General features: G+C 34.4%; 2 pseudogenes; both read left to right on the top strand.

Moving 5' to 3' along the window:
• Positions 1-7,751, top strand: part of LOC124902164 (uncharacterized protein FLJ76381-like) — a 56,858-nt pseudogene extending 49,107 nt beyond the window's left edge.
• FGF7P4 (fibroblast growth factor 7 pseudogene 4) lies at positions 7,648-12,057 on the top strand (annotated as a pseudogene).
• The last annotated feature ends 1,430 nt before the right edge of the window (positions 12,058-13,487 follow it).

Here is a 13,487-nt window from a genome sequence, read left to right as displayed (position 1 = left end):
ACAGCAGAAGAGAAAGGACAAGGTCAAACGTGGCACTGGGGTTTTAAATACAGGAAATTGGGAGGATGAACCAGCAGACTTAGCAAGATACAGAAGAAAAAAGAGATTTAGGAAAAACGTAGTATGGGTCAGCCAGATTTGGGGATGCCGATGCCATAACCAACTATAACCAATGGAAGATGATTTAACACAGTTGTAAGTATCTTGAAGCCAATGGTCTGTTTAGATGGGAAACAGTCTTTCATTTTCAAATTTAAAACTTTATTCTTAAAATGTGTACATTTAATCCAGAATAATCTATGGATATGTATTGAATAAATGCGTTCATTTTTAAATTTATATTTGATTTGTAGTGTCCCATTTCACTATAGTTTTCTGAAGAAATCTCAGTTCTTTATGCAAACTGTATCATAATAGTCAAGAATTTAAGATTACTTTCGTGTTCAAGGTCCTATCTCCAATTATCCTCTTGCTTAACGTGATTGCCTTTTGACCTACTTTCCATCTTAACATTAACATTATATTTTTTAATTATCCTGAATCAAATTTCGATTTAAGAAACTCCAAAAATAACAAAAATTGGAAACAGCCTATAACATTTTAGGAAATCAAGAAATATATTTAATTGTAACACCCACTTTCATATTCCACAAGAGAAAAATAAAGCAAAGCCTGATCAAGACGTGCCTTTAACACAACTCAATCACCTTTGAGCCTTCATTCTTTACCAGTCTCTCTATTCTCTGTGCCTATTTTCTACTCTCCCTGAGCAGAAATTTAAGTGTCACATTTTGCCAAGGCCTCCATTACATGAGTAATGAGTGCTTACATATATTGATATCCCCTGATTTTCTGTTGGTGAAGTTTCCAGGAACATTCATTCTCTTGGGAGGAGTAGAGACTCAGGTAAAAGTCATGTCTCTTCATCTTCCATCCTTCAGAGATTACTGGTGGCCAGAACACCTATGTGGGAGAGTGGGTATGGGAAGTGGGGTGTGTGGATAAAGAAACTCTGTTCGGGAGAGGCTCCCAGGGATCTGTGAGTCAGAGGAGTCACCTATCTTTAGGGTTGCACAAATCTAGCACCTTCTATGAAAACTGCATTCACCCAGAATGTGAAAAGAAAAAAGGGATGGCTGAGAACTTTTAAAATTCAGCAACAGACACCTGCCCACAAATCAAAGAACCTCAGAGAACACCAGATGCTACTATCCTGTCATAAATTAGGTAGTTATTTTATTAAAATAAAAAGATAGGGCCGGGCGCGGTGGCTCACGCCTGTAATCCCAGCACTTTGGGAGGCTGAGGCGGGTGGATCACAAGGTCAGGAGATCGAGGCCATCCTGGCTAACACGGTGAAACCCTGTCTCTACTAAAAATACAAAAACATTAGCTGGGCGTGGCGGCGGGCGCCTGTAGTCCCAGCTGCTGGGGAGGGTGAGGCAGGAGAATGGCGTGAACCCAGGAGGTGGAGCTTGTAGTGAGCCGAGATCGCACCACTGCACTCCAGCCTGGGCGACAGAGCGAGACTCTGTATCAAAAAAAAAAAAAAAAAAAAAAAAATTGAGCAGATAATAGAGTTCCTATAAACAATCTCCATTTCCCCCCACAGTTCCTCCATTATAAATATCTTGCATTAATGTGGCACATTTATTACAATAGATGAGCCAATATTTATTTATACCATCAATTTATACTAACGTCCCCGCTTTGCTTTGTATAGTTCTATGAGTTCTGACAAATGTATATCGTGTATCCACTATTACAGTATTACGCAGAATAGTTTCACTGATTTAAAAATCCCCTGTGATTGAGCTTTTCATCCTTCTTCTGCTCTCCTCAAGGCCCTTGCAACCACTGATCTTACTGCCTCTAAAGTTTTGTCTTTGCCAGAATGTCATATGGCTGGAATCATACAGTATGTGGCTTTTTCAGACTGGTTTCTTTCACTTAGCAATATGTACTTAAGGTTCCCCTTGTCTTTTTGTGGCTTCACAGCTCAATACCTTTCATTGCTAAATAATATTCCAATGTATACGTGTACCATAGTTTGTTCATCCATTTACCTATTGGATATGTTGGTTGCATCTGGTTTTAGATGATACGAATAAAGCTTCTATAAATAGTCATGTTCAGGATTTTGTATGGACGTAAGTTTTCAATTCAATTGGGCAAATACCTGGGGGCATGACTGCTGGATTATATAGCATGTTTAGTTTTTAAGAAACTGCCAAACTGTCTTCCCATGTGACTGCACCATTTTGCATTCCCACTAGTAATGAAAGAGTTTTGGTTGCTTCGCATCCTTGCCAGCATACAGCACTGTCAGTTTTTTGGAGTTTAGTCATGCTAATAGTTGTATAGAGGTATCTCATTGTTGTTTTAATTTTCAATTCCTTTTTAAATAATTTCAACTTTTATTTTAGATTCAGGGGGTTCATGTGCAGGTCTGTTACCTGGGTATATTGTGTGATACTGAGGTTTGAGGTATGATTGCTCCCATCACTCAGGTACTGCGCATAGTACCTAATGGTTTTTCAACCCTTCCCTCATCTACTCCCCGCCAGTAGTCCCCAGTGTCAGTTGTTGCCATCTTTATGTCCCTAAGTACCCAGTGTTTAGCTCCCAGTTATAAGTGAAAACATGCAGTATTTAGTTTTCTGTTCCTGTGTTAATTTGCTTAGGATAATGGCCTCCGGCTGCATCCATGTTGCAATTCCTTGATGATCTATGTTATTGAGCATATTTTCATCTGCTTATTTGCCCTTTGTGTATCTGTAGTGAGGTGTCCAGATTTTGCCCACTTTTTAACTAGGTTTTTTTTCCTTATTGTTGTGTTTTCAGTGTTTTTTTTGTATATGTTGGATATATTGATATATTTTTTGCATATATGTATATGTCGGTGTATTTTAGTGATGTAAAATGAATGGAATCTATAGCCTTAAACATAATATAAATATATAATGGTTAAGATTTCCCACTCAACAATCCAGGCTTGACAGAAAATCATAAAATGTATTTAAATGTAAATGTTTTTTTCTTTGTTGATACTAGTTCTTAGTTTTAACATGCCGAAGAGGGTATATTTGATCAAGGACAAGATTAAATGTTCTGATTGGCTAACTATCAAACCGCTGCCTCCACTTTTTTTTGCAACTTGAAAATAATATTTAGTTATCACGCTAGCACAGCCATATTAATATATACCCCTTCAAAACTTTAAACATAAAGCTTTAACGGTTTCAGGAAAAAGAAATATTAATGATGCTGAGATTGGTGGACACGGATTCTGTGTAGTGAGACACTAAAAAGTAATTTTTCAAACAGGAAAGTTAAAGCACTTTAAAATCACAAAGCTATTGGTAATTAAAAAAAGAATTAGTATCAATTTCTGAAATACAAGATTAGAGGGACACCTAAAATTCTGAAAGGTCTTACAGAATTTTTTAAAAAAGTAATTGCAATTTAGATCAAAGTTCCCCACTTTTCATTCCAAGTGTGACACAGGTTTAAATAATAAACCGACAAAAAGTTTAGATAAATTCATGAATTATTGAACCAGATGATAAAAAATAGGGAAGCTATTTAGGGCATAGTCTCTAGTGTGTAAGGGTGACATCCTAAATAATAAATTTATGCTATTGTTGACAATATTGCTGACAAGGCTAAATGGTCAATGTGCTTGACATATTGCCTGGTTTTTCATGTTCTATTGCATGAGCTGATTCTCTCTCTCTCTTTTATTTATATTTTTGAACTCTGCCATTATGTTATCATGGACATTATGCCAACAATTTGATGCATCTATGTATATGCTTTAAATCTCTGGGAATAAATTTACTGAGTGCTACTTATGTGAACAAACTTCTCTTAAGCACAAATGGAAATCCACAAAGAAAGACAGCCTCTTCTATTTGTTTTATGTGAGGCAACAGATACACTGTAGACAAAAAGACCAAGTATAATTAACTCATATTGGTAACTAACAATATCTGCATATTACATATTTTTCTATTATGTTTTCTGAGCAACTTCGTGGCTTCTGATTTGGAGGGGTAGGATTTCATAGTTAATACTTTTTTCTTTTTTTTTTTTTTTTTTTTTTTGGTGAGATAGAGTCTAGCTCTTGTTGTCCAGGCTGGAGTGCAATGGTGAAATCTCAGCTCACTGCAACTTCCGCCTCCCAGGTTCAGATGATTCTCCTGACTCAGCCTCCCGAGTAACTGGGATTACAGACACCCAGCATCATGCCTGGCTAATTTTTGTATTTTTAGTAGAGATGGGGTTTCACCATATTTGCCAGGCTGGTCTTGAACTCCTGACCTCAGGTGATCCGCCCGCGTTGGCCTCCCAAAGTGCTGGGATTACAGGCGTGAGCCACTGCGCCCGGCCCATATTTAACACTTCTATAAATATTTGTGCATATTGAAAGGAACATTACTCCCCACACTGCAACTGAACAAATGAGTGATAATGTTAATTTCCTTATTCTTGAGCTTTTCTTGAATAAAAGAGGGTCGTAGGACATGGAACAAAATAGACTAGAAAATAGGGTTGATAAGGTACTGATTCTGCCAACACTGCTTAATGCTCTCCCCAAGCAATTGTCTTTTAGATATGTTGATTTCCCAGTGTGAATGGTATTTTTTAAATATGTCAAGCAATTAAGAATATAAGTCTATTCTCATCTCAGCTAAACGTAGAATCTTTACAGAGAATTTGTGGTATCCTTAACCCTAATATGTGGAGAGATATGATTAAAAATGTTCACCACCTTATTTTCATTTATTTATTTATTTATTTATTTATTTATTTATTTATTTATTTATTTATTATTTTGAGACAGAGCCTCACTCCACCCAGACTGGAGTGCTGTGGTGTGACCTCGGCTCATTGCAACCTCTGCCTCCCAAGTTCAAGTGATTCTCCTGCCTCAGCCTCTCAAGTAGCTAGAATTATAGGAATTCACCGCCATGCCCAACTAATTTTTCTTTTTTTTTTTTTTTTGGTGAGACAGAGTCTCACTCTGTTGCCTAGGCTAGAGGGCAGTGGCACCGTTTTGGCTCACTGCAGCCTCCGCCTTCTGGGTTCAAGCAATTCTCCTGCCTCAGCCTCCTGAGTAGCTGGGATTACAGGCACCCGCTACCACACCCGGATAATTTTTTGTATTTTTCGCCATGTTGGCCAGGTTAGTATTGAACTCCTGACCTCAAGTGATCTGCCTGACTCGGCCTCCCAAAGTGCTGGGATTACAGATGTGAGCTACCACATCCAGCCATCACCTCTTGTAAAGTGCAGTAAAGAAATAGTGGGCAATAGACAGGCAGGGGATAGAGGAAAATGTTTTGGGAGTGGGACAATATGAACTTATTGTCATGACAGGACCAAAAAGGGAAGACGTCTGCCTATCATAATTAATACTAACTCTATCAGTCAACATTTATGTTTTACAATTGTTCTGTAAAAGAAAAGCCAGCAAACATTACAGATTCTAGTCCCTAATAACTGATCAAGAAAGACACTCTAAGCTTGTGCATCAGCATTCTCTTTTTATCTAAAAGAAAATATATTAAATACAGGGAGGAATGGCAGGAGTAAAGAGACTTGAAGGAAAAGAAAATATTGACTTTTTAATGATATTTTACAATGCTAAGATCTTTAGAAACCAACTATTCCATATGTCCTTTAAATATTAGTTTGGTGCAAAGGTAATTACAGTTTTTGTCATAAAAGTAATGGCAAAACTACAATTACTTTTGCACCAACCTAACTGATACATTCATTCCATTTTGGAGGTATTGCAAATATGCTGAATCAATGAATTTCTTCAGTATTTTTCATTGTATTAGTACAAATTTAACCTAATAGTATTCTTCTGCATGTTATTTCCCTTTGTGCTTCCTTTAATGCAATGAAGTTGTAGTTACCAAATAGAGTGCCCTAAAAGGGCAAGGCTTGTCTGTGAATTGAGCCTAGCATAGAATTGGCTCTCAGTGAAGATCTGTTGAACGTTACATGAATGCATCAACGTCATAATCCTTCATGTGCTTGTAAGCAATTAGTAAAATTTTCTCTGGCCTATTCAGGCCTGTGTTCTTCAAAATTCTTCAAAATATATGGACGTGTTTGCTGTTTCTATTAGGTTTTAACTTCTGGTATCAGAAACCAGGGCTGTTTTTCTTAATTTGTGTCCTAAAACTACAGTAGGGTTGTATGCATTGTGATAATGCTTAATAAATATATAAAAAGATTAATATCCATTCATTTACATTTTCTTAATCAAACCCAATTTCTGGAGGAGTAGCTGTGAAACTCTCAACTGGACGAGCTCTGACTAGTGTTAAGTATAGGATATTGGGAAAAGGGCTTCTATATGCAACATATATGTGAGGCAAATGAGAAATATTAGCTGGGCTACATTAAATCCCAATGACATGAATAGAAATTTTATTATCCAGGTAGCAAAAATGAAGTCAAAAAAATAAATAAGAGAATGAAGTAAAGGTATGGGGCAAAACAATTAGCTTTTTCTTTAAGTCAATATTTTAGAAAATAGCTTTTGAAGGCCCAATCACACAGAAAATTGACACTTTGACTTTTCTTTGCACTGTGTTAGACATAGGTAAAAGGATGTCTCAGCACTGTACCTTCATGTAGAAAATGTAATTAATACCAAATTGCATAAAAGTACACTAAAATTTTAATTCTTACATCATTTTAATAAATTTCTTGAGATTTTACTTTATTTAGTGTGTCATTAAAACACAGGATTTAAGGAAGATATATATAATAAAGGAAAATGGTAAGTTACCATTCTTGTGTAAACACGTTTTGTAAATACTATTTCAACAAAGATTTAAAAGTTAATTACAAAGGTATAAAGTTATGAAGTATTATATAAACAGGATTCATAATTTTGTTTTAAATGGTCTTTTCATGTATCAAAATACTATCAGTTTAAAACAACCTTTTATTTTAAGGCAGTAGGCTCTGTTTACCATCATTTACAATTGCTTTAATTAGAATTTTCTTCACTTTCAGTATATTCAAGAGCTATTCTGTTGGCCATAATTTTTAAGATAAAGTTTATCCAAATAGAAAAGTAATTATATAATGATTAAGTGCCAGAATGTGTGGGTTCAAATTCCAGTTCTGCTACTTATCAGGTATAAGAATTTGGGCAAATTTCTTAGTTTCTCTGTGCTTCAGTTTCCTGATCTGTAAAACTGGGATAACAAGACTACCTGCCTCAATCTGTGGTTATGAGTAAATGAGTTAATACATAAGAGCAATGCAATAATCCTTGGCATGTGGTATGCGTTCAATAAACATTAGCTATTATTATTATAGTAAATTAGAAATTTAATTCTAGAGAATAAAAAGCTGAACTCAAATATGTAACTATTTATTCGATACAGGCACATTTTCCACAAAATAAAAAACCGTCAGTTTGCACTTGCCTTATATAATGACTATTCTGGTGTTTGTGTGTATCTCTTGTGGGTCGGGGGTCTTGGGCTGAGTAAATAATCACATTAAAAATTTTAAAGACTTCCGATTAAAACAGAAATAAGAACAAATGGCCATTCGTGGATCATTTGCAAAGCTGAACGAATACTTGACATGTCTTTCTGTGATTCCTTGCAGATATCATGGAAATCAGGACAGTGGCAGTTCGGATTGTGGCAATCAAAGGGGTGGAAAGTGAATTCTATCTTGCAATGAACGAGGAAGGAAAACTCTATGCAAAGGTATTGATAATTGATAGCTTAGGCTTAATTTTTAAAACTCATTTTTGTTGAAATATCTCACCATTCTGAAAAGTAAACATGGACTTAATCTATCTCCAACTGTATAATTTAATGATTTTATTAAAACACTTTATACTCAAATGTTAAGAAAAAATGTTTTCTGTGTGACTTTGGACAAATGGCTTGTTCTTTGGATTCTGGTTTCTTCATCTGTAAAATGAGTTGAATTAGCTGACCTCTAAGGAGCCTTCCAGCTCTAACATTCCATGTGCATTTTAGATATTTAAAATCCAAAATTTCCATTTGCCAGTATTAAAGCTCTTTTTGCTAAAGTTCACCCAATTTGCACATTGCTGACATGAAAATTCTTGGGAAAAAATCTTGAAATGTTTAGTTCATTCATCAACATCAATCTCACAATCATGGGCTTTGAACTGTAATTATTCACATTGTTCCCACTTCACTACAATGCAAAATATGTAACAGTTCATCCCACTGTAATAAAATATAATTGGCTTTCCTTTGTATTCCCACAGCTCAGCATAATGCCTGGAACAGGCTAATTATATAATGATACAGGTTTAATTGAATGAACAAATGGTTGCATGGATGAACAAACAAATTAACCTTTTATCTTCCATTACCACTGAAGACAGTGTACAAGTAAATAAAGAAAAGTTGTGAAACAAGTCTCTCACCTGAGGGAGGCAGAGGTTCTGCTAATTCTACCAAATTTCCAGTGGTTAAAGAATGAGTGATGTGGGAAGAGTAATTTGAGGCCTGTTACTTAGGGGGAAATAGGTCCTAATTTTAAAGAATAGTTGACATGAACTTCCAAAAAGCTACACATATTTCACACTAGCTGTGCATTATGTGGTGTCTTTATTTCAAATTTAAGATACCTTTTTATGCAAATATACTACATAAGTCTAGCTAATAAACCACATTAGGCCTGCTCAATCTGAGGGTTAAAAAAAGTTGTGTATGTTTCAATTCTACCAAATATTGCTGCTTACTCTTCGTTTAATTGAGCCTCTCTAAAAATCATTTGGATAATGTTTGTGTGTTTGTTTGTTTGTTTGAACAGAAAGAATGCAATGAAGATTGTAACTTCAAAGAACTAATTCTGGAAAACCATTACAACACATATGCAGCAGCTAAATGGACACACAATGGAGGGGAAATGTTTGTTGCCTTAAATCAAAAGGGGATTCCTGTAAGAGGAAAAAAAACGAAGAAAGAACAAAAAACAGCCCACTTTCTTCCTATGGCAATAACTTAATTGCATATGGTATATAAAGAACCAGTTCCAGTAGGGAGATTTCTTTAAGTGGACTGTTTTCTTTCTTCTCAAAATTTTCTTTCCTTTTATTTTTTAGTAATCAAGAAAGGCTGGAAAACTACTGAAAAACTGATCAAGCTTGACTTGTGCATTTATGTTTGTTTTAAGACACTGCATTAAAGAAAGATTTGAAAAGTATACACAAAAATCAGATTTAGTAACTAAAGGTTGTACAAAATTGTAAAACTGGTTGTACAATCATGATGTTAGTAATAGTAATTTTTTTCTTAAATTAATTTACCCTTAAGAGTATGTTAGATTTGATTATCTGATAATGATTATTTAAATATTCCTATCTGCTTATAAAATGGCTGCTATAATAATAATAATGCAGATGATGTTATATAAGGTATATCAGACCTACAGGCTGCTGGCAGGATTTGTCAGATAATCAAGCCACACTAACTATAGAAAATGAGCAGCATTTTAAATGCTTTCTAGTGAAAAATTATAATCTACTTAAACTCTAATCAGAAAAAAAGAATATTCTCAAAAAAATCTATTACGAAAGTCAATAAAATAGATAATTTAACAAAAGTACAGGATTAGAACATGCTTATACCTATTAACAAGAACAAAATTTCTAATGCTGCTCAAGTGGAAAGGGTATTGCTAAAAGGATGTTTCCAAAAATCTTGTATATAAGATAGCAACAGTGATTGATGATAATACTGTACTTCATCTTACTTGCCACAAAATAACATTTTATAATTTCTCAAAGTAAAATTGAGAAATCTTTAAGTTTTTTTCAAGTAACATAATCTATCTTTGTATAATTCGTATTTGGGAATATGGCTTTTAATAATGTTCTTCCCACAAATAATCATGCTTTTTTCCTATGGTTACAGCATTAAACTATATTTTAAGTTGTTTTTGAACTTTATTATTTTGTTATTTAAGTTTATTTTATTTATTAAAAAAACCTTAATAAGCTGTATCTGTTTCATATGCTTTTAATTTTAAAGGAATAACAAAACTGTCTGGCTCAACTGCAAGTTTCCCTCCCCTCTGTGACCGAGACTAAGTCTAGCACACAGCACTTGGGCCAGCAAATCCTGGAAGGCAGACAAAAATGAGAACCTGAAGCAATGCTTACAGTAGATGTCTCACACAGAACAATACAAACATGTAAAAAATCTTTCACCACATATTCTTGCCAATTAATTGGATCATATAAGTAAAATCATTACAAATATAAGTATTTACAGGATTTAAAAGTTAGAATATATTTGAATGCATAGGTAGAAAAGTATCATATTTTAAAACTATGTATATTTAAATTTAGTAATTTTCTAATCTCTAGAAATCTCTGCTGTTCAAAAGGTGGCAGCACTGAAAGTTGTTTTCCTGTTAGATGGCAAGAGCACAATGCCCAAAACAGAAGATACAGTTAGGAATAAGGGGCCTTGAATGTCATGAAGGCTTGAGGTCAGCTTACAGATAACAGGATTATTAAAAAGATGAATTTCCACTTCCAAAGTCTTTCATTGGCAGATCTTGGTAGCACTTTATATGTTCACCAATGGGAGGTCAACATTTATCTAATTTAAAAGCTATGCTAACCATTGTGGTTTTAATTTCAAAATATTTGTCATTCAAGTCCCTTTACATAAATAGTATTTGGTAATACATTTATAGATGAGGCTTATATGAAAAGGCTAGGTCAACAAACCAATAGATTCATTTAATTTTCCTGTGGTTGACCTATACGACCAGGATGTAGAAAACTAGAAAGAACTGCCCTTCCTCAGATATACTCTTGGGAGAGAGCATGAATGGTATTCTGAACTATCACCTGATTCAAGGACTTTGTTAGCTAGGTTTTGAGGTCAGGCTTCAGTAACTGTAGTCTTGTGAGCATATTGAGGGCAGAGGAGGACTTAGTTTTTCATATGTGTTTCCTTAGTGCCTAGCAGACTATCTGTTCATAATCAGTTTTCAGTGTGAATTCACTGAATGTTTATAGACAAAAGAAAATACATAATAAAACTAATCTTCATTTTAAAAGGGTAAAACATGACTACACAGAAATTTAAATAGAAATAGTGTATATACATATAAAATACAAGCTATGTTAGGACCAAATCTCTTTGTCTATGGAGTTATACTTCCATCAAATTACATAGCAATGCTGAATTAGGCAAAACCAATATTTAGTGGTAAATCCATTCCTGGTAGTATAAGTCACCTAAAAAAGACTTCCAGAAATATGTACTTTAATTATTAGTTTTTCTCCTATTTTAAAATTTATTATGCAAATTTTAGAAAATAAAATTTGCTCCAGTTACACCCACTTAGAATTCCAGAATCTTAAAACTGTAAGGGGCCTCCATCCCTCTTACTCATTTGTAGTCTAGGAAATCGAGATTTTGATACACCTAAGGTCAAGCAGCTGAGTAGATATACAACTGTCACAAGAGTCTAGATCAGTTGGCACATGCTTTCTATACTAGATTATTAGTATTATTAGCTAATGGTCTTCTGCATTTTTTTGTTTTTTTATTTCTATTGAGATATAGCCTTTACATTTGTACACAAATGTGACTATGTCTTGGCAATGCACTTCATACACAATGACTAATCTATACTGTGATGATTTGACTCAAAAGGAGAAAAGAAATTATGTAGTTTTCAATTCTGATTCCTATTCACCTTTTGTTTATGAATGGAAAGCTTTGTGCAAAATATACATATAAGCAGAGTAAGCCTTTTAAAAATGTTCTTTGAAAGATAAAATTAAATACATGAGTTTCTAACAATTAGAAAGGAAAAAATTAAAATATGAAATGATAACAAAAGTAAACAAAAGATACTTTCAAAGCAGTGAACAAAACATTTTGACATAAGCCATAATATAAATTATAATATAAAAATATAAAAACCATAGTATAAATTGTCAATCTTTGAGTTGGCTATGAATTCAATTTAATGACAGAAGAGAAGGGATGCTGGAGGTAAATTCTTAGAGTTTCTATCTCATAGAGTTTGCTCTTCTGATTCTCTAGACTGCCAAAGAACATAAAGATGTACAAGGGGACCTAGCTGTAGTAAAAGCATTGCTATAACAACAAAAACTCTAAAACAGTGCCCCTCACGATTTTCTACTGAAATTTCTCTAACAGTAGAGGTATAAAACAAGAAGTTAGAGAATAATGCAGAAGGGGCCCACCACAGAAATCACATTTCTTTTCTGTTAAGACTCATGTGATTTTTGCATCTTACTCCATAATGTATTAGTGGTTGCGTTAATATGACAATGTCTGCAATTAAACACCAGTAAGCAAAATCGATACATCAGAATGACTTGCAGGGCTTATCATGCAGTTTCATTTACATCCCTATCCCACTGCCATTTACTTGAGCGTGAATGACACACGAGAGATTCTTTGCCTTCCATGATCCAACTTTACACATAAATAACACAAGGCTAAAGAAAACCAGAACTCAAATTCACCATGCATAGGAGTGATAACAAAAATATTTAACAGTCAGTATGGGTGATTACTGGCCAATCAGAATACGTCACTGATATATCAAAATGGATGCAGGCCACTGTGACTAACTTGTGGGTATCATTTCTATGATCACCCTAAAACAGAGTTGGGAAAATATCAATTAACTGGTCTCTCTGGTTTGAATTCTCAATATGTATCTTAATATGAAATAGCTCATTAAAACTTCATGTGTAACTATTTCAGCATTGTTGTCAGCTACTCTTTATTCCACTTCTGTACAGTATTTATTCAACCAAGCTGCTGCTTTCAATGAAGGTCACTTGTTCCTTCAGGGACACATGTACTCCCACCTATCCTTTAATTTTGAATGGTTTGTCAAGAAAATTTACTTTCTCTTGAGTTGAAAAGACTTGACAGGAAGCAAGAAATAATACAGTCCTAGCCTCTTTCCAGTAACATCTGATTTCTCCATTCTCAAACTACACTTCTCAGGGAACCAGATATTTACTCTCGTCTGGGAAGATGCCTCTTATGTTTTCCTTTTACTTCCTGGTTATCATGTGGTTGCATTTTCCAAGTTCTTATCATTGAATTTATGAGAGCCTATCCAAATTTATTTTCTTTTATTTTCTAATAATTGAAATGTGAGATGAAAATAACATTTCACTTATGAAAAACGCTTCTCTTGATGAATCCTTCCATGTGTTAGTTATCTATTGCTCTGTAACAAAGGTGTTAGTTATCTATTGCTGTGTAACAAATTAAAACTTAATGGCTTGAAACAAATATTTGTTTTCTCATAGTTTATGTGGCTCAGGAGCCTGGACGTGGTTCAGCACAGTGTTTTTGGTCAGAATTCCTCATGAGGCTGCAATCAAGGTGTAGACCAGGGCTGTAGTCATCTATCTCAATATTCAACTCAGAAAGGGATCCACCTTA

This window comes from Homo sapiens, chromosome 9, assembly GCF_000001405.40.
Source record: "Homo sapiens chromosome 9, GRCh38.p14 Primary Assembly".
Taxonomy (NCBI): domain Eukaryota; kingdom Metazoa; phylum Chordata; class Mammalia; order Primates; family Hominidae; genus Homo; species Homo sapiens.
Note: the sequence above shows the minus strand (reverse complement) of the source record. Positions and strands in the feature narration are given on the sequence as shown.